Below are 22271 nucleotides of genomic sequence, written 5' to 3' on the forward strand. Positions count from 1 at the left end.
AACAGGAATAGATGCAATCCATACCTGTACCCCAGATTTTCAAATTCTTCCCTTAAAAATTCTTTGGAATTACAAGTAGTATAAAATTGACTGTCTTTATATTTTAACCTTCTTCTCTTTGGAACCACCAAAAGAAAGGAAAAGGTGATAGTTCACAACCCCTTTTAAAGAATTTTACTTTGTGGGGCAGAGCAGTTAGATAAAAATTTTTTGAGATTACAAAAGTGAACTGTGGAAATGTAAGGACTGCATATAAAGGAAGTGAAGGCCAGCTGCGGTGGGCTCACGCCTGTAATCCCAGCACCTTGGGAGGCTGAGGCGGGTGGATCACCTGAGGTCAGGAGTTCAAGACCAGCCTGGCCAACGTGGCGAAACCTTGTCTCTACTAAAAATACAAAAAAAAAAAAAAAAAAAAAAAAAAAATTAGCAAGGTGTGGTGGTGGGCACCTGTAATCCCAGTTACTCAGGAGGCTGAGGCAGGAGAATCACTTGAACCTAGGAGGCGGAGGTTGCAGTGAGCTGAGATCGTGCCACTGCACTCCAGCCTGGGCAACAGAGTGAGACTCCATCTCAAAAAAAAAAAAAGAAGTGGAAACAGAATGATACGGTTTAAAAGAAAAGTTTAAAAACATCTCAAGGGGCTGGGCCTCGTGGCTCAGTACATGCTTGTAATCCCAGTGCTTTGTAGAGATGCAGTCTCACTATGTTGCCCAGGCTGGTCTTGAACTCCTCGCCTCAAGCAATCCTCCCATCCTGGCCTCTCAAAGTGCTGGGAGCCAATGCACTGGCCCCATCCCAGCACTTTGGGAGGACTGCTTGAGGCCAGGAGTTCAAGACCAGCCTGGGTAACATAGTGAGACCCATCTCTATAAAATAATAATAAAAAAAATTGTCTGGGTATGGTGGCTTGTGTCTGTGTACTTGAGAGGCAGAGGTGGGAGGACTGCTTGAGTTCAAGAGTTGGGTAAGCACTGATCATGCCACTGCACTCCAGCCTGAGCAACAGAGTAAGGCCCTGTCTCCAAACAAAACAAAAAAAGCTGGGGGAGGCCAGGCACAGTGGCTCATGCCTGTGCACTTTGGGAGGCCGAGGCGGGAGGATCGCCTGGGTCCAGGAGTTCAAGACCAGCCTGGGCAACATGAAGACACCCTGTCTCTATTTAAAAAAAAAAAAAAAAAAAGCTGGGCGTGGTGGCTCACGCCTGTAATCCCAGAACTTTGGGAGGCTGAGGCGGGTGGATCACCTGAGGTCAGGGGTTCGAGACTAGCCTGACCAACATGGTGAAACCCCGTCTCTACTAAAAAATACAAAAATTAAAAAAAAAAACAAAACAAAAATTAGCTGGGCATGGTGGCGTGTGCCCACAATCCCAGCTACTTGGGAGGCTGAGGCAGAATAGTTGGAATCCGGGAGACGAAGGCTGCAGCGAGCCAAGATCACACCATTGCACTCCAGCCTGGGCAACAAAAGCGAAACTCCCTCCCCCAAAAAAAGGTTTTAAGGGAAAAACCAGGAAAATTATGGGTGATTTTCAGAAACAGCCTCCAAGATGCTTTGGTGGTAAGTATGAATTCTATATAAGGGGTCTGTGGCTGGGATGAGCTAGTTCTCTGAACCTTTGTTTACTCTTTTGAAAATGGAAACAAACAGCAGTACCTACTTCAAAGAGTTGTTCTGAGGATTAAAAGAGATGATCCATGTAAAGCACCTAGCAGACTGCCTAATCAATAAAAAGCACTCCATTCATCCTAGGTATTATTGTCATTATTACTTCATCCTTATCATCAATGAAGAGAAATTCTCATATGCTACAGGTTGGAGTATAAACTACTATAGCCTATCTGAAAGGCAATATAATAATAGGTATAGATTTTTTTAATGCAAGAATTCTGTTCTAGGAATTTCATGTCTAGGTATTCATCCTTAATACTCTGGAGTTATTAAAAAGGATATGATATACTTTTATGTAATGATATAGACATGTATTTATATCATTAAAGTGTATGATGTATATCACGTACATAATGCAGGTTATATATAACATGTTATATTACATATACTACATATATAATATAGAGCATAATATGATGCATTATATTACAGTCTAATCCCATCTCCTTATTGTTACGTTTTTTTTTTTTTTTTTTTTTTTTTTTTTTTTTTTTGAGACGGAGTCTTGCTCTGTTGCCCAGGCCGGAGTGCAGTGGCTCGATCTTGGCTCACTGCAAGCTCCGCCTCCCGGGTTCACACCTCCGGAGTTCTCCTGCCTCAGCCTCCCGAGTAGCTGGGACTACAGGTGCCTACCACCACTCCCAGCTAATTTTTTGTATTTTTAGTAGAGACGGGGTCTCACCATTTTAGCCATTTTAGCCAGGATGGTCTTGATCTCCTGACCTTGTGATCCGCCTGCCTCAGCCTCCCATTACAGGCATGAACCACAATGCCCAGCCCTTATTGTTACTTTTTAAAGAGACAGGGTCTCACTCTGTTGCTGAGGCTGGAGTGCAGTAGCATGATCATAGCTCTCTGTAATCTTGAACTCCTGGGCTCAAGGGATCCTCCCGCCTCAGCCTCCCAAGTAGCTGGGACTGCAGGTGTACCATGCCCAGATGATTTTTATTTTTGTAGAAATGGGATCTTGCTATGTTGTCCAGACTGGTCTTGAACTCTTGGTCTCAAGTGATCCTCCTGCCTCAGCCTCCCAATGTGCTGGGATTACAGGCATGAGCCATTGTGCGAAGCTTCCATTTATATAAAAAAGCATAGTCTGCACAAAAACTTGTACATTAATATTCAAAGAAGCATCATTCATAATAGCCTAAAAAGTGGAAACAACCGGTAAACGAATAAATAAAATTAGTGTATCCATACAATGGAACAGTATTCAGCCATAAAAAGGAAGTGCTGATACAGGTTACAACACAGATGAACCTTGAAAACATGCTAAGTGAAACAAGTCAGACACAAAAGGCCACATAATGTATGATTCCATTTATGGAAAATGTCCAGAATGGAGAAATCCATAGAAACAGAAAGTAGAGACTAGTGGATACCTGGGGCTGGGGAGGTGGGTAAGGGGAATGACCGCTCATTTGTTTTGGCGGGGGTGGGTGTGAAAATGCTCTAAAAGTTTATTGTAGTGATGGTTGTACAGCTCTGTGAATATCCTAAAGTATCTATAAAACTCTATAAAGTAAAATTACAATTTGTCACAAATTAGTCACTCACCATCCATGAGAAGCCAATGGCCAGTGAGAACCCAGATGAGGACGAGCATGACAGACAGAGAGAATGACAGCAACTCAGCAGCAGTGAAACGTCCACAGCAACCAAAGGAAATCCTGGAAAACACACAACACTTATTGGACAGTGGGCACACTTTATTCAGTAACCAAATTCTCCTTTGGTATTTCGTGATGGCTGGATTAGAATAGCAGATAATACCAAGATAGCTGGAAATCCAAAATACCCAATCCTTTTTTGGAGAAACCTATGGAAAGCTCACAGGAATATACTTCTGCACCAACTGATAATGTCTTTTTGGGACCAATTATCAACATGGGCATTTAGAAGTTTGAAGTGATAATATTAACCTCTGGAAAAGCTAATAAGTATGGAGGAAATTCTATTCTTATGAGGAAAACAAAATGAAGAAATGCCAACAATTCAACTCATTTACCAAAGATGGTATCACTCTATTTAGAAGATTGTAAATCTTTTGGTTATCACTAATTCCTGCGAGCATCAGCTGCCACCAATGACTGGTTTCCTAAGTGCGTTCAGCATCTCCATTAGCACAGAATTTTGTTTCCGTGCAGCAATGACTTTCAGAGTTAAGGTGTGAACACTAGGATTAAACGCAAGTAGGTAGCATATCTAGGCCACCGAAGACCAAAGGCAAAGAAGAACGTTTGAGTTCAACCACTATTCTCATATTTCATCAACTCACAGTAAAGGAATGAAAGCACCGTTTCAAAAGAAAACTGCTCATCTTTCAATGATCTAAGTAGGAAGCACATTACAATGACTCAGACTTCCTAAGTTTTGTTTGTATTTCCTCTGACATGAGAAGGTACAAAAGGAAGTACTAGCTTCTGGCTTTAAAGATCAAATGTGTCACTTCCTGGTCTTTTGGCATTTCTGTGCTCCAGCCAATAACAGAAATTGAGAATCCTAATAATGCTATCAAATATGACAGAAAAATATATACAAGTTTATAATTTAAGAGGAAAGTCCCAAGTCCTTACTTGTTCTGAGGTGAGCAGGGTCTTGTTAAATACTGGCACATCGGGAGGAGAAGAAAAGCAAAAGCTATCGTTGCAAGAACTAGAGAAAGAAAAGGTATAATTTTTTAAAACAATTATAAGAAAAATGGCATGACTTATAGAAACTTCATTCCGCCAAACACTAGACAAGTGGATACGGTTAATTGACTAGAGAAGAAAAATGTCTTCCTTTAATACTGCACAAAAAATCTCTTCATTATTAAAAAAAAGTACCTGATTTGAAGTAGGGGAAAGCATAGGTAAGTTTCCTAAAAGATAAACAGCAGGCCAGGGGATGACCTCCTAACAAGTCTTGTAGCATTTTGCCGATTTTTTTTTACATTTCCATCAATACTTAGCTTGAAAACACATCAAAGAGCTGACAGTCCAATCACTTTGATTAGCTATCCATGTTTCTACCTGCAAGAACGTGGGTAGAGGCTGACAATGGCCTCTATGCCAAGCTCAACCTTCTGGTAATCTAGAAAAAGCGCCACAGCCAAAGCACAGCAATACTGCTCTGGTGTCATAGAATTCCTGCACTTTGACGTCTCCAGCCTTTCTTTCAGATTGTGTGGGCAGGTCTCAACAGATGACGTGGATCAAGAGGTTCAAGGAGGAGTTGGGGAAGGGTGGCGTGGTTGAGACGGAGAAGGCGAAGCCAAGATTTATAAGGAAAAACTTACATGACATGGTATATAAATCTTAATTTTTGAACAATGATAAAGGTGAAAAATTTTCCTTTTAGTATGTTAAGACTAGACAGAGAAACTCATATTTACCTGCTGTACATATTGTAAAAACTACTTGAACTGAGTCAAAGAAGAAGAACATTACTAAAAGAGAGACAGATGCTCCAATTGGAAGGAACAGAGCCTGGGTAGAGTCAATTGTTTGGATGCCTGAAAGAGAAAAACAGACAGATTAATAACTTATTATGCACCAGGCACTGTGCCTATGCACTTCATATACATTAACTTGCAAAAATGCAGACAGTTCTACGGATTATACGTAGGACATGGATTATCCAGGCCCTATGAGTCTTTCTTTCCCAACGAGATTATGAGCTCCTTGTTCTCTTCATGGTGCCTTTCATTACAGCAGACACTCAGGAATATTTGTTGAAGTGAACTACTACCTCCTGGTGTTAACCATCTGGATGACAGGATCCAAACCACCACCGAGAACATTAAGAGGTAGTAAAAACCCAGATTAGTCCATTTGGGTAAATTTGTGGTCTTGAATATAGGTTTGGTAAAAGAGGTGGTTTAAACCCATTGACTAAAAGGACTTCTCATCACCTGTGGGTTTAAGGTACTCATTTTCACTCTTTCTCGTTGTTGCTAATAGTTGAGAACTGACTTGGCTGATGGGGGAGAAGGAGGACAACAAGTCATAGCTGAAAACAGCAAATCAGAAAAATTTTATTTGGCCAGATGTGGTAGCTCACGCCTGTAATCCCAGGACTTTGGGAGGCTGAAGTGGAAGGATGGCTTGGGACCAGGAGTTCAAGACCAGCCTGGGCAACACAGCGAGACCCCCGTTTCTATCTATTAATATTTACAAAAAAAAAAATTTATTTTATGGGAACATTTTAAGGTACCAGAATAGGAGATGAATACGGGAAAATAATCTCTTGGGCTAGAGTAGGATTTAGCGCAAGGGTTCTCAATTCTTGGCTTCCCATTAGAGCTTTAAAAAAATTACAAAGCCCAGGTCCAATCCCAGACAAATTAAATGAAATCACAGGAGTTAGGCCCAGCTAAAAGCTCCTCACAAAACTGTATTTTGCATCTAGGGTTGAGAACCATTAATAGAGTATTTTTGGTAGAGAAGGAAAACATGGCAAACTCTAATAACCACTGAATGAAAAAAAAAATTACCAGTTTTATCTTGTCTCACTTCCAAATTAACTCTATTGAGATGTCATAAAAGCGCACAAAAGGAATCAAAGAAATCTTCATATGATCTATAATAATGAAATAATAGAAGAAAAAGGCTGGGTGTGGTGGCTCATGCCTGTAATCCCAGCACTTTGAAAGGCTGAGGCAGGAGGATCACTTGAGGCCAGGAGTTCAAGACCAGCCTGGGCAAACTAAGGAGACCCTATCTCTACAGAAAATTAAAAAAAAAAAAAAAATTAGGCATGTTATCTTGAGCCTGTAGTTCCAGCTACTTGGGAGGCTGAAGTGGGAGGATCACTTGAGCCCAGGAGTCCAAGGCAAAAAAAAAAAAAAAAAAGGAAAGGTCTCTTCATTATATTAAGGCTACAAATAAAATATGTAACCAGGATAAACATAGCAAGACACAAAGGGTTACAATGATCAACAAAATTTCTCTTAGGTATTTAAATTTGCCTGTCCCCAAAAGAGTTATTTAGGGTTTTTGATTGACTAAATCTATAAAACAAAATGCTTCTCAGGGACTAGGCAGATGAGTGAAGTAATTCACTTAGGAATAGGACAATTCAATTTAGGAAAAGTGAACTATGTGTCATGACAAACAGAAATTATCTTGGAAGCAGTCTGTCCTGACCCTAGTCAAATCCATTCAGCTTGGCCCAAGGATCACTTCGGGAAGTGTATCCATTAGACAAAACTCTATGAAATCTCTAACTAAATTTTACCTAAATAGTTTTTAAATGTAAGTGCTCTACAGTAGTTCAAAGAACAGCTAGAGGAAGCTACAGATTTTCAGTGCCTTTCACTACAGAAAATAATGTTTCTCAGATAAATAACTTTATCATAGGAACAAAGCATCAGGGAGTCTATAGACAGATTATACTGATTCAAAGTATGAAGAGAAAATTAAATGGCTAGCTAGAATAAAGACTGTAGTGGTGAGGTATATAAGAGATGCATTTGTTTATAATAAAGCTAAATTTTAAAAGTTCAGTCTGCAATTACATGCGAAACTGAATACAAAGGACCTTTCTGGCGTATTAGATAGAATGCACAGATTTTTTTTTTTTTAAACCACAGATTTTTGAACCAGGAGGCGATGTCACAGGGCAAGTAAAGCGCCTTTAGTTCCTGACAATATGCTACCTAAAACAATGTCCATGACTTCAGTACTCCATTTCCTAAAGTTCTGGAGATAAAGGTCTTGAATGGGAAAGAAAGAGGTAATTAATTAGAAATTTTAGCCAAACTCCAGTAACTTAAAAACAAAGCAAAACTGAGCAAAGCAAAACAGACTAGCCATAATTAGGAGGACATATGCAAGTGCAGTTGCATTATCTTTAAGGCAAAAATCAACATAGGAAATAGGCTTGGTAATGGAATTAAAAATTTTGTACAGCAACATCATTTTTAACATTCAATGAACATGGCTACAGGCTAAATGTACGTCTGGTATGGAATAGACACTGAGCAATAAAACCAATAACTATTAAGAAAATTACTGATTTTACACCTCCCTGTAAGAACGATGCTTTTGACTATTTGCTGAACACTTATTATATAGTAAGCAACAGGAGGGATTAAAAGAAAGTCATTTCCAGATCTCATGAAGTTTACAATCTAAGCAAGAAGATTAAGATGTATACCTCTACTAAAGATGAGGATCCCAACTATACATCTCCATCAATCTTTATAACTCAAATAAATTATAACTGAAGTTTAGTAAAAGTCTTTAAGATGTCAGATAATTGGGCAGGGGTGTACATGGCTTTTTAAAATTCCACTTAATACTACTTAAATGAAGGACTGATGTGCCATGGGAAAATAAATTTCTATATTGGCTTCTTGGGGGCAGGCAGAGAAGTTAGAACAAGGTCAGGGGAAATCAGAGGACCTGGAGGGAACTCTTGCCCTCCACCCTCACTCCTGTCACTTTCTAACCTTTTTTATGGTGAAGCATCACACCCAGAAAAGCACAAAAATGAATTATTACATATTTAATACCACTCAAGTCAAGAAACAAACCAACCCCAGAAATCTTCCTTTGTGTCCCTCTCAATCACTACTTTCTCTCTCTCTCTCATTCTCCTGAAGGGAACCGCTATCCTGACTTTTATGACACGTTTTCCACCCAAGCACGCATCCTTAAATACTAGTTTGCCTGTTTCCTAAATTTTATATGCATTGAGTTATGTAGTTATTTTTTTGTGTCTGGCTTCTTTGACTCAATATGATTTGTGAGAATTATCCATGCTGTTTTATGTAGCTACAGCAGTTCACTTGTTTTCACTGTATGAATACAGTAAAATTTATCCATTCTACGGTTGACATTTGGGTTGTTTCCAATTTTTTGGTTATTACAAATGCTGCTGCTCTAGGCACTCTTGCACATGACTTGATGCACATGTGACTGTATTTGCTGGATATATAACTAGGAGTGACACTGCTGGGTCCAAGGGTATTTATACTGTCACCTTTAGTAGGTAAAATGTCAAACTGCCTTCCAAAGTGACTGTGCTAACGCATGCTCTCCAGTAACGCAAGAGGGCTCTTTGCTGTTGCTGTGCATCCTCATCAGCACTGGGAATGGTCAAGGTTTTTAATTTTAGCTATTCTGGTGGTGGGCATGTAGTGCTTTTTCATTACTGTCTTCACTTTTACTTTTCTGCTTTCTAATGAGTTGAGTGCCATAGTTCCTGGCAGGCCTGATCAACTCTTCCTCTTACTTCCATGTGTTTCGAGTTGCCCAGATAGGTGGAACATTATTATAATCTGAAGTAATAATTACCCAGTCTTTTGGTCAAATACCCTAGGGCACCCTGCAGCGAGAAACTTTCAATTACAAACTGATTTCTCCATTTTTAAGTTCTGATTTTTTGGGGCATGAGTCACATGGCCCATCTAACCCTCTGTTGAGTCTCACTTAATGCTTCTCCTTCTCCTAGCTCCTATTATAATCAAGGACAGTCAAATCATTTCTGACATATTCAAAGCATGTAATCGTAAGAGTAACCCTTCACCCACGTACCCCACCAATGATGCTGGCTACACCTACAACTTCTCCTGCTCTCCTATCTCTTTACAAATTCCTTGTTTCTTATTATTTTGGGAGTGGGCAGCTACAATCTTTTAAAAACTTCTGATTACTGTCTCCTTCAATCAGTCTGAAACACTCCTGACAAAATCTTAACACTAAATTTATACTTTCTTTTTCTCAAAACCTTCTCCCCAGTTGTTCCACATTGTTAATCATCCAGGACTTCCATCTCCTTAGCACCTACACCTCTCTGTTTCTCTGTTCATCTTTCTGGCTATTATTTCTTTGATTCTTGATAAATTCATCCTGTTTTCCATGTCATCCTTTCAATCTGTAATAATTTTATATTCCATAATCAAGTACTGGTCGGCCGTCTTTGTAATGGCTTCTTCATTATGTTCTTCTTTGAGGAAGTGAATTTTGCAGTCTATGCTAATCTGTCCTTATCCTATTGGCATCCACTGCTCAGAGCAGGCACTGAAGAAATGTTGTCAAGGATAATTTAGTACAACATAGCTGGCAGAGTTAAGAAAGACCATTTAGGTTGGGTGCAGTGGCTCATGCCTATAATCCCAGCACTTTGGGAGGCCAACACTGGAGGATCACTTGAGGTCAGGAGTTCAAGACCAGCCAGGGCAACATGGTGAAACCCCATCTCTACTAAAAATACAAAAATTAGCCAGGTGTGGTGGTGGGTGCCTGTAATCCCAGCTACTCGGGAGGCAGAGGCAGGAGAATCACTTGAACCCGGGAGGCGGAGGATGCAGTCAGCAGAGACTGCACCTCTGCACTCCAGCCTGGGTGACAGTGAGACTCTGTCTCAAAAAAAAAAAGAAAAAAAGCATTTAAAAAAGAAGTATTCTACCACTCTTTAGACTGTGCTTCATGAACAAAAAATAAAAAAGCTTATGTTGGCTGGGTGCAGTGGCTCATGCCTATAATCCCAGCACTTTGGAAGGCCGAAGTGGATGGATCACTTGAGATCAGGAGTTTGAGACCAGCCTGGCCAACACTGTGAAACCCCATCTCTACTAAAAATACAAAAATTAGCCAGGCATGGTGGCGAGCGCCTGTAATCCCAGCTACCCCAGGGGCTGAGGCTGGAGAATTGCCTGAACCCAGGTGACAGAGGTTGCAGTGAGCTGAGATCACGTCATTGCACTCCAGCCTGAATGACAGAGCAAGACTCCGTCTCAAAAAAAAAAAAAAAAAAAAAAAAAAAGAGCTGTATTACCAGGTAACTTCTTTCCACTGTACGGACTGGCACAACCATTTCTTGTTTTTGTTTGTTTTTGAGGTAAACTTAGACATAATAATATAGGTAGATTTCTTTAGGTTTCTGTGATGCAATGTACAGCAGATTTATAATTTGGTTTAAGAACATCACTTGCATATGTGCTACATAATACAGGACTTTTAAAAAGAGTTTCAGGAGTATAAACTGATTTGGCTTAAAATGTTGACAGAAGATAAGCTGCTATGTAATAATTTAATCTAAAAATCAGATTTTGCACCAGGTTTTATGTGGTTCCTTGCACTAGTAATAACTACTGGTATGGAATTTTATATCATACAAGGATCCATGTCATAAATTTAAGAAAAGACTCATTATATTTAAATGAGTCGACTTACCGTCTTTATCATGCCCACTTTGGCACTGCCAGGGACAATGAAACCCATGTGACTGGGTCTGTGCCCGGTGAAAACTGGGCAAATACAACTAGGTTGACAGCGTGCTATAATAACTGGAGAAACTAAGATACACAATAAGTGATCTCTTTTCAATTTAACATCCATGGTCCTCCAATCAATATTTGATCTACCTTTTAATTAGATCTCTAGCATTTCCTCTCTCTTAGGTGGCGACCTTACCCTGTTCTATAGGTCGTGATCTCTGTGCCTGTTATTATATGTTCCCCTAACCTGAAATGACGACTTCTCCACCAATCCACATTCACTAAGTCAAACCCACCTTCTCTTGTAAAGAAACCTTATCTGACCCATTGCTGCTCACCTGACTTGCGGGTCTCTTTATGCTCTTTCTACATGGATATCAAAATGATTTCATCTGTAGAGCTTCCTCTGATAATAGCTCTATGTTCAGAGGGATTCTGAGGCTATGGTGAGGGTCACCGAAAAAAGGTACTTGCCCCATATATAGGAGGTGAAGAGGTATTTGCCCTCTCTATCTTGGCACTTTTTTTTTTTTTGAGACGGAGTTTCGCTCTTGTTGCCCAGGCTGGAGTGCAATGGCACGATCTCGGCTCACTGCAGCCTCTGCCTCCTGGGTTCAAGCGATTCTCCTGCCTCAGCCTCAGTAGTAGCTGGAATTAGAGGCATGCGCCACCACACCTGGCTGATTTTGTATTTTTAGTAGATAGGGTTTCTCCATGTTGGTCAAGCTGATCTTGAACTCCCAACCTCAAGTGATCTGCCTACCTTGGCCTCCCAAAGTGCTGGAATTACAGGTGGGAGACACTGCGCCTGGATATCTTGGCACTTTTTAAAGAACATCTTGGCAAAAATTTCTCTTGTACTTTTGCATCTTTCAAAAGATCTAACAGAATGTTGAGTACATGGCAGATCTCAATATAAATGTATTAATATTATCAAATCAAGTCACTTCAAATTCAAATCTTTCTATAAGCATCAAACATTTTTATTAACGTTATTGAGGTACAATTACATACCGTAAAATTCACTCATTTTAAGTATAATTCAATGTTTTTTTATACCAATCATAAATCCTTGAACCCAGTAAATTATTAACTGGAGGTATAGAAACAGCCAAATTAAGAAAACTATATGTACAGAAGTTAATTGACATAAAATATCTTACTATTATTGGTGCTGTTGCCATTGAAAGACCCAGAAGAACTATTACTGTCTTTCTCCTTATCTTGATTTTCAAAGTCCATATTAAGGGACCTGTGGAAAAAAATTTTGTAGTTAAGTTGTAGTTTTGCTTACAAAAGAAGGTCAGAAAAGTCATATGACAATATTTTTAAATGCCAAGGAATTAGGAAAGAAGGTCTCTTTTGAACAACTCTGAAAAATAGCTCTTGTAACATTTTAAAAAACAATCTTCAGTCCTTCCAATGTGTCAGTTCAAGAGTTTTCCTGACTGCAGATGAAAGCATCCCAATGCAGCTGAATCTTCCACTCCTATCTCTGAGCATATCATATCCTTAATTACTTCCTTATGATAAAAGCCTAGAAGGAGAAATGTCAAAGGGCAAGCACATTTTGAGACTTTTACATACCACACAACTGTTCGCAAAAAGGCTGCATCAGTTCACTCTCTCAGCAGTGTATGAGAGCACTCATTTCCCTATACCCTGTCAGCTGTGATTCAACAACAAAAAAAATTTGAGTGTCTTCTATATCTGGAACTGTTCTAGGTACTACAGGGACAATAAATAGCAAACACAAGACTGGATTTTATATTCAAGGGGGGAGATGTAATAGACCAGAAAAATAAGTTCAATACATAGCGTGTTCATGGCAGGTGCTAAGGAGGAAAACTAGGAAATGCAGGGGTTAGGGTTTGAAATTTTAGACAGGATGAACAGGAAGGCCTCACTGACAGTGACTTCAGAGTCAAGACCTGAAGGAAGTAGTCACTGTCTATCTGGGGAACTAAAAATGGCACGTCACTTTGATTTAGAATTCTTTAACCAGTGAATAATGTTGTGTACAAAAGCTTGCTCATTTCTTTCTTTTTTTTTGTGAAGTATCTGTCCAAGTTCTTAGCTAATTTTCTGCTAGTGTTTTCCTGTAAAGAAGGTGTTTGTGGGTGCAGTGGCTCACGCCTGTAATCCCAGCACTTTGGGAGCCCCAGGCGGGCAGATCACGAGGTCAGAAGATCGAGACCATCCTGGCCAACATGGTGAAACCCCGTTTCTACTAAAAATACAAAAATTTGCTGGGCGTGGTGGTGCGTGCCGGTAGTTCCAGCTACTTGGGAGGCTGAGGCAGGATAATTGCTTGACCCCAGGAGGCAGAGGTTGCAGTGAGCCAAGATTGCGCCACTGCACTCCGGCCTGGCAACAGAGTGAGACTGTCTCAAAAAAAAAAAAAAAAAAAAAAAGTTGTTTTTTTGCAAAAGAACTTTCTGTTATGATGGTCTTTATCTGCACTGACAAGTGCTGTGGACATCAGCCACATCATGTGATCACTGAAATGTGGCTGGTAGGACAGAGGAACTGACTTCTAAAACTATACAGCTTTTAGATAAAAACACATGGTAAATCTCTGTGACCTTGGATTTGGAGTAGATTCTTAGATATGATGCTAAAAAACAGAGAAAAACTTAAAAAACTTACGTGCCTCAAAGGACACTAACCAAAAAGTCAAAAGACAACCCATAGGATGGGAGAAAATCTTTGCAAATCATGTATCTGATAAGGGACTTGTGTCTAGGATATATAAAGAACTCTTACACCTCAATAATAAAAAAGACAACCTGATTTTAAAATGAACAAAGGATCTGAAGAGACATTTCTTCAAAGAAGATACACAAATAGCCAATGAGCCCATGAAAAGATGTTCAACACCGTTAGTCATCAGGGAAATACAAGTCAAAACCATGAGAAACTGGCTGGAAGCGGTGGCTCACGCCTGGAATCCCAGCACTTTGAGAGGCTGAGGCAAGAGGCTCACTTGAGACCCATGTGGGCAACACAGTGAGACCCTGTCTCTATAAAAAATAAAAGAATTAGCTGGGTGTGGTGGCATGTGCCTACAGTTTCAGCTACTCGCCAGGCTGAGGTAGGAGATCACTTGAGCCCAGGAGGTCAAGGCTGATGGCACCACTGCACTCCAGCCTGAGCAACAAAGTGAGACACTGTCTCCTCAAAACAAAACCACCACCATGAGAAACCACTTCACACATAGCAGGATGGCTATAATAAAAAAGTCAGATAACTAAGTGTTGGCAAGGACACAAGGATGTAAAACTGGAACCTTCATACACTACTAGTGGGAATGTGAACTGGTGCAGACACTTTGGAAAACAGAATCTAACCATGTTGACACCCTGACCTGAGAATTCCAATCTCCAGAACTCTGAAAAAATAAATTTGCTGTTTAAGCCACCCAGTCTATGGGTATTTCATGGCAGCCTGGGCTAATGCAGATCAGATTTCATACCTGAATCCTTTTAAATGTATTGAGATTTGTTTCATGTCCCCATATATGGTCTGCATTAGTAAATATTCCACATACACTTGAGAAAGAGCGTGTGTTCTGTTGTTGGATGGAACATTCTATAAATGTCAATTAGGTCAAATTGATTAAGAGTATTGTTGAAATCCACTGTATCTTCACTGATTTTCTGCCTAATTATTCTATTATTGGGAGTGGTACTGAAATCTTCAGCTATATTTGTGAATTTATTTCTCCTTGCAGTTCTCTCAGTTTTTGCTTCATGTATTTTGAAGATCTTTTATTAGATACATAAACATTTGTGATTGTTATGCTCTCTTGCTTAATTGACCCCTTTGTCATTACAAAATAACCTTCTTGTCTGTGGTAGTATTCTTTACTCTGAAAGCTGCTTTGTCTTATATTAATACAGCCATTCCAGCTTTCTGTAGATGAGTATAAGCAGCATATCTTTTCCTAACCTTTTACTTTTAACTATTTTTTTTTTAATCCTAACCACTAGACAACAGGGATTAACCTTTTTTGGCTTTATAGTGTGCTTCTTGTAAGCAGCATATATTTGGGTCTTGCTTTTTTATTCAATTTCACAATTGCTGTTTTATTTTTATTTTTATTTTTTTGAGACAGAGTCTCAATCTGTCACCCAGGCTGGAGTGCAGCAGTGTAGTCTTGGCTTACTGCAACCTCTGCCTCCCAGGTTCAAGCAATTCTCCTGCCTCAGCCTCCCGAGTAGCTGGGACTACAGGCGCATGCCACCACACCCTGCTAATTTTTGTATTTTTAGTAGAGACGGGGTTTCACTATGTTGGCCAGGCTGGTCTCGAACTCCTGACCTCATGATCCGCCTGCCCTGACCTCCCAAAGTGCTGGGATTAGAGGCGTGAGACACTGCACCTGGACAACTGCTGTTTTAAAGAGGTGTGTAGACCAATTTCATTGAATGTGATCAGTGATACAATTAAGTTTGAGCCTATCATCTTACTATTTGTTTCCTACTTGTCCTATTTTATTTCCCCTTAACCTGACTTTGTTTGGATTAATATAGCATTTTTTATGATCCAATTTGATCTCCTTTGTTGTCCTATGAGCTATAACTCTTTGCTCTTTAATTTTAGTGGCTGCTGTAGGGTCTATAGTATACATCTTTAACACAGTCTACCTTCCAGTTATATTGTAACATTCATGTATAGTATAAACTCCTTACAATAGTTTATATTTATTTCCCTCCCTCAACCTTTGTGCTACTGTGGCCATGCATTTAACTCTTACATGTTATCTTATAAACCTCACAATATATAATGTTTGTTTATGTTGTCAATTATCATTCATTCTTTCATTCATCTTGCTATGTTGCCCAGGCTGGTCTCAAACATCTGGGCTTGAGCAATCAATCCTTCTGCTTCAACCTGCCAAGTAGCTGGGATTACAGGTACACACCACTGTGCCCAGCTCCAGTCAATTATCTTTTACACAACTGTAAATAGAAAAAAACTTTTATCGATGGATGTTCATTTCTGGTGATCTTAACTCCCTTGTGTAAATACAGATTTAAGGCTGGTACCATTTTCATTCTGCTCAAAAGACTTCCTTTAACATTTTTTAGTGTAAGACAGCTGGTGATGAGATGAATTCTTTCCGGTAGTGTATGGTATGTCAAAAACATCTTTACTTTGCCTTCATTTTTAAAAGATATTTTTGCTGTAGAATCTTACAGTGACAGTTTTTTTCTTCCTGTACTTTAAAGCTACCGTTACATTGACTTTTCACTTGTATTTTCAAATCTGACATCACCCTCATCTTTTCTCCTCTGTACCTAACATGCTTTTTTGCCCCCTCTGGCAGCCTTGGGGATTTTCTTTTACCACTCATTTTGAGCTACTGATTATGTGTCTTGGTGTAGTTTTCTTCATGTTTTTTGTGCTTATAATCTGCAGTTTTGAATCTGCAGATTATAGTTATCAAATTTAGAAAAAACTTGGCCATTATTTCTTCATGTATTATTCTGTCCCTCCCTTTCTTCTCCTCTTTCAGGGACTCCATTACCCATACAGTAGGCCACTGGAGGTTTCTCTCTAATGTTCAATGATAGCTCCATTATGATCTTTTCATGTTTAAAAAAATTATTCTTTTCTGTACTTCATTTTGGATTAATTTCCATTACTGTGCCTTCAAGTTCACTAATCTTTTCTTCTGCAGTTTCTAATTGCTGTTAATCCCATCCAGTGTATTTTTCATCTCAGACATTGTTGTCTTCATTTCTGAAAGTTTGATTTCGTTCTTCTTTATAATCTCCATGTTGGCCAGGCACAGTGGTTCACGACTGTGATCCCAGCACTTTGGGAGGCTAAGGTGGGTGGATCACTTGACGACAGGAGTTTGAAACCAGCCTGGCCAACATGGTGAAACCCCGTCTCTACTGAAAATACAAAAATTAGCCAGGCATGGTGGCACAAACCTATAGTCCCAGCTACTTGGGAGGCTGAGGCAGGAGAATTGCTTGAACCCGGAAGGCAGAGGTTGCAGTGAGCTGAGATCACGCCACTGCACTCCAGCCTGGACGACAGAGCAACTCTGTCTCAAAAATAAAATAAAAATAATCTCCATGTATCTATCTAACTTTTTGTATATATGGAATACAATTATATCTGTTTTGATGTACTTTGCTCATACTAACATCTGTGTCAGTTCTGGGTCAGTTTTGATTGACTGATTATTTTCCTCATCCTGGGTCATGTTTTCCTTTTTTGCCTGTCTGGTCATCTCTGCACGTATGCTAGACATTGTGAATTTTACCTTATCTAAATATTTTTTATTCCTATTAATTTTGAGCTTTGATCAGGGATGCTGTTAGATACCTGGCTTTATTTTTGTTTCCATGATTTATTAGGTGGGTCTGAAGCAGTGCTCAGTCTAGGGTAATTATTCTCTATCATTGAGGCAAGATCTGAGTACTCTATCCAATGCCAAATGAATTGTAAGTTTTTCCAATCAGGCTTTTGGAAGCAGGTACTCTCCCTTCTAATCCTTTCACATTATTCTTTCCTCCACTTTAGATGATTTCCACATATGCATACACTAATTAATACTGTGGTGAGGGTGGGTGCAGTGGTTCACGCCTGTAATCCCAGCACTTTGAGAGGCTGAGGCGGGCGAATCACGAGGTCAGGAGTTCGAGACCAGCCTGGCCAACATGGTGAAACCCTGTCTCTACCAAAAATACAAAAATTAGCCAGGTGTGGTGGTGGGTGCCTGTAATCCGAGCTACCCAGGAGGCTGAGGCAGAATTTCTTGAACCCGGGAGGTGGAGGTGGCAGTGAGCCGAGATTGTGCCACTGCACTCCAGCCTGGATGACAGAGTGAGACTCCAACTCAAAACAAACAAACAAAAAACAACAAACAAAAAAATTGGGATGAATGTTCAAGGATTCTGTGTAGATCTCTGGGTTTTTTCATTTTGCAGCTCTCTTTTCTTTTGTACTCTGTTCTATTAACTCTAGCTGCCTCTAGCCGTCTCTTTGGACTCTCAGTTCCATCTCTTCAACTTCAGAAATCTTTCTCTCTGCACCATGAGTGGAAACTATCTTAAGATAGTTTGACGGGAAAATAAGTATGACGGGAAAACTATTCCTCAACTCTCAGGAATACTGTCCTTTGTTGTCTGATGAAAAATATCTTGAAAACTGCTGTGTTATGAGGGTTTACATGTTTTTTTTATTGTTTTTAAAGTTGTTTCATGTGGGATGGTAATTCAGTCTCTGTTTCTCTATCTTGGCTGGAAGTACAAGTGGCTCTAGGTAGTTCTTTTAAATAGGTCCTGAACTGGACAGATTTTTAAGTGAAGGAAAAGGCCTTTTAAAATTTCTTGTTCATGTCCCTGGGGGTACCAAAACATTGATGAATTGTATCCCTTTCTTTAGGAAAGCAGAGGATCCTATCCTATAATGAAGAGGTAGGTCATAATCCTTCCTGGAAGAAACTTAACCAAATGACTGGGCTCAGGTCACACTGATAATGATCTTAACTTCGTAGTTTCCCACCTCTATGACTCAAAATTTCTTACTGGATTTGAAAGACTTGCCCCTCTACTAACAGCCTGACTCTAGCTGCCACTCTTGTTTCCTGTACTTTCATTCACTAAAACTCCCTTCTCTGTTACTGGTACCAAGGAAGCCTCAATTAGAATGGGGGGTCTGGGGAGGATAATCTATGAAGTAGAGACTGGTTAGTTACATGTCACCCTGTTCTCATATAAATCTGGCCAACGAACTGTTTAGCAAACTGTTCCACTGGAGGGCAGCCCCAGTGGGTGACAGCTCCCCAGCAGGACCAAAACACAGCGACTTTTAGATGTGGTGGACTCCCTGAAACATGGTTAAGACTCCTCTTCTGAAATATGGTCAGGTGTCTGATGTGTTGGCTTTCCTGGGGGTTTTTTTATTTTAAAAAAGCCTTGGATTTTAGAAGATTCATATACAGTATTTGAGACATATTTCTCCAGCCATCAGAGGAAGACACATTAGCAGAGATTAAAACGTACACTTACTGCTCATACCTCAGTCACACTTAGAGGAATAGCTATGGCAACTGGCTCCTGAAAAACTTTTTCCTAATTAGTTCCACAACAAACTAGATGTAGTATTTTGCATATATTTCCCCTGCCAACGCACCTGTGGTAGTTTCTAGTACATGGTTTCACTTCTATGATCTTTTAAGCTTTAATTCATGTTTTCGCACAGCAGAGCTAACAATGTGCAGGACCTAAACTCTAGGGTTGGTGATGCATTTAATGGGAACGTCTCTGGAGTCAATGGAACATGAAGACTGCTCCTTCCCTGTGGGCATGTTTTGGAAACACATATATTAATTTAAATTGAGTTTTTCAAATTCACTTATGAATGGAATAACAATAACTACACTTGTTATATTCTGCTTCTCAGAATCTGGTGACAGCAGGTTAAATGTGCAGGAATTTTTATCTACATCTCTACCCTTGGGGCTACACAGATTGCCAGCTTCTCTTACTTTTTCTGTTGGCATTATATCGCTATTCTGGATTGGAAGGTTGCCAGTCATCTCTTTGGTTTAACCCTAGGCACAGCTGCTACGGAGCCTCTCCCATGAGACTGGGTTAGTGAGAATAGGTGCTGAGAACCCCCCGCGGGACAGGATGAAGGGTTATATAACTCAATTTCAATTTGTTATTAGTTGAGAACTATTTATAACTCCATCCTGGATGTTTTAAGGCAAGATTTTCCCCTTTTTTCAAATACAGCTGCTCCTTGACTTACAATGGAGTTATATCCCAATAAGCCCAGGTAAGTGGAAAAATCTCAAGTTCAAAATGCGTTTAATATTCATACATCTAACCTACTGAACATCATAGTTTAGCCCAGCCTACCTTAAACGTGCTCAGAACACGTACATTAGCCTACAGTTGGGCAAAATCATCTAACACAAAGGCCTGTTTTGTAATAAAGTGCTGAATATTTCAAGTAACTTACTGAATACTGTACTGAGAGTGAAAAACAGAATGGTTGTATGGGTACTTGAAGTATGCTTTCTACTGAAATCATACTGCCTTTGTACCATCATGAAGTGGAAAAATCTTAAGTTGAACCATCATTAAGTCAAACCGTTGGTAAGCTAGGGATCTTCTGTAGCAGAAAGTAGTGGTCAACTTCAAACCAGTTTTAGCTGGTCCATTTTCTTAGCATCTAACTGACAAGAACTGCAGCAGGGACAGGAAAGCCTTAGGCAGGAATGAGGTACTATCAGATGGTGGGGGAGGGTGGAGGACTGGTAAGGAGAGCAAGCATTCTTCTAGTTCTCTGTGTAATTAGAAGACTTTGAACTTCTCACTGCCTCAAACAAGCTTAGCTAAAATCAAGCCTTGTTTGGTTGTTAGAAGCAGACCATGGGTCACCGCTGCACAAAACAGAAATGGGGCACAGTGAGTTAGTAGGGCCTTACCTATTAGCTCAAGCTGGGAAGATTCATATCTTCCAGCTTTATACAACAAGCTTAAAGGGCCTGGGCTTAGCAGATCCCATGCCACTATGACTGGGGTCCGGTAAAGTTACTCACACTGCACAGCTGACAGCAAACTTAAGCTGTTTAAATAAAGCCTTTGCAAAAGACTCTGCCTCCAAAGCTATCCAGGACTATTTTCAATTATAGGCCTTTAACTTAGCTTATTTGGTAATTTATTAAGTGCATAGACATCAGATTGCTAGGTTGGACCTAGAACAGTTCGCTGCATCTTCACAGAAGACTACTCTTCATTCTCTTCCATCTTGACCTGCCTTCACAATCTTGTTATTGCTATACAGTAACATAATATGATGTTAATATAACGTTATAAATATACATTCCATCCAAATTGTATCCTGGCTATTTGCAAGTCTAGGTACTGAAATCAATGTTTAGGTCAGGTGCGGTGGTTCATGCTTGTAATCCTAGCACTTCAGGAGGCTGAGGCTGGTGGATCACCTGAGGTTAGAAGTTCGAGACCAGCCTGGACAACATGGTGAAACCCCGTCTCTACTAAAAATACAAAAGCTAGCTGGGCCTGGTGGCGCACACCTGTAATCCCAGCTACTCAGGGGGCTGAGGTAAGAAAACTGCTTGAACCCGGGAGGTGGAGGTTGCAGTGAACTGAGATCACACCACTTCACTCCACCCTGGGCAAAAGAATGAAACTCAGTCTCAAAACAAAAAAACAAAAAACAAAACAAGAAAAAGAAATCAATGTTTAAATGATCAACAGAAGGACTTGAGCTATGGCTTTTTCATCACAGACAACCATTTACCATCACAGAAAAAAAATCCATCTAAATTATAGCATATTATATGCTATTTTTTTTTGTCTTTTCATCAACTATGACTGAACAGGAAGTAGTTATGGGTCAAGGTGTAGGAGGTCAACAAATGTCCAATTATTGATACTTACATAGAACCTACACTAAGAAAGAAAGACTAAGAACCTGGGCAGGAAGAAACAGTCTCTGACTCAGCAGCTGAGAACATCCAGGGGGTTAAAATGATGATAATAGTTAAGCTTGATTGAGCTCATACTGTCAGGCACTGCTAGGTGCTTTACAGGCAAGGTTTCTTTTGATTCACAGAAAAACTCCATGAGTGGGGTGACCACAAATTCCAGCTTATGCCTGCTGCCTTGGCAAAATTATGAAGGAAACAAAAATATTTCACCCAAAAATATACTTCTCTGACATATTTCAGATGGTTTTCAGAAGGGCTGGAAATACAAGAATAGCTGAGAGAAGCTGTGTGGGGCAGATTTGCATCTGTAGAGAAAATATGCATTGATGAGGTGGAGGCATTTCTCTGAGGCCCTACCTTGTCCAGACACAGGAAAGATTAATTGAGAGTCTGACACCTTAGAAGGTCAGAAAGAAACATATTCCATCTATTCTCTCTCAGGGCTGCGACCTGTGAGGTTTCATCTACATGACAGGACCACCTGTGCTAGCTGGGCCTCCTCTTCTCTCTCTCTCATAATCTGTCTCACCACCATAACCTGATTTACCACCATAACCTGTCTTGCCACACTCCAAGCCCTCATTCTTTCTGTAACCTCAAGGTGGTATAAAAGCATCAGCCATCTGGCCATTTTTTTTTTTTGAGATCTTATATTTTGTAAGACTTTTGTGCACATTAACAAATCTGTATGCCTTTTCTATTAATCTGCTATTTGTCAGTGGATTTTTCAGCGAGGATTCAGGGGGCACAGAGGAAGTTTTCCCTTGGCCCTGTTACACCAAGTAATGGGCTCACTGCTTGACGCGCTACATCTTTCCACATTAGTATATACTGCTTTTTTCTCATAAAAACAAACAAACAAAAAAACCTACAGAGTATTTCTCCCCAAGTAAACTTGATCT

General features: G+C 39.9%; 1 protein-coding gene across 2 annotated transcripts in view, besides 1 other annotated feature; it reads right to left on the reverse strand.

The window, feature by feature from the left end:
* SPPL3 (signal peptide peptidase like 3) overlaps window positions 1-22271 on the reverse strand; it is a 141849-nt gene that overhangs the window by 16916 nt on the left and 102662 nt on the right. For both annotated transcript variants that reach the window (NM_139015.5, XM_011537925.3), the window contains exons 3-6: window positions 12044-12132; window positions 5049-5168; window positions 4249-4327; window positions 3230-3342 (exon numbers count right to left, since the gene is read on the reverse strand). In NM_139015.5, coding sequence (NP_620584.2) covers window positions 3230-3342; window positions 4249-4327; window positions 5049-5168; window positions 12044-12132 — 401 coding nt within the window. The remainder of the gene's footprint in view (window positions 1-3229; window positions 3343-4248; window positions 4328-5048; window positions 5169-12043; window positions 12133-22271) is intronic.
* Window positions 3617-4816: an enhancer, noted in NCBI's record as "MED14-independent group 3 enhancer chr12:121220845-121222044 (GRCh37/hg19 assembly coordinates)". NCBI's record gives its function as "activates an origin of replication core promoter dependent on BRD2, BRD4, P300/CBP and CDK7 cofactors, and independent of MED14, by STARR-seq in HCT116 cells {active_cell/tissue: HCT116}" and the evidence as "EXISTENCE:reporter gene assay evidence [ECO:0000049][PMID:35650434]".

Source organism: Homo sapiens, chromosome 12 (assembly GCF_000001405.40).
Source record: "Homo sapiens chromosome 12, GRCh38.p14 Primary Assembly".
Taxonomy (NCBI): Eukaryota; Metazoa; Chordata; class Mammalia; order Primates; family Hominidae; genus Homo; species Homo sapiens.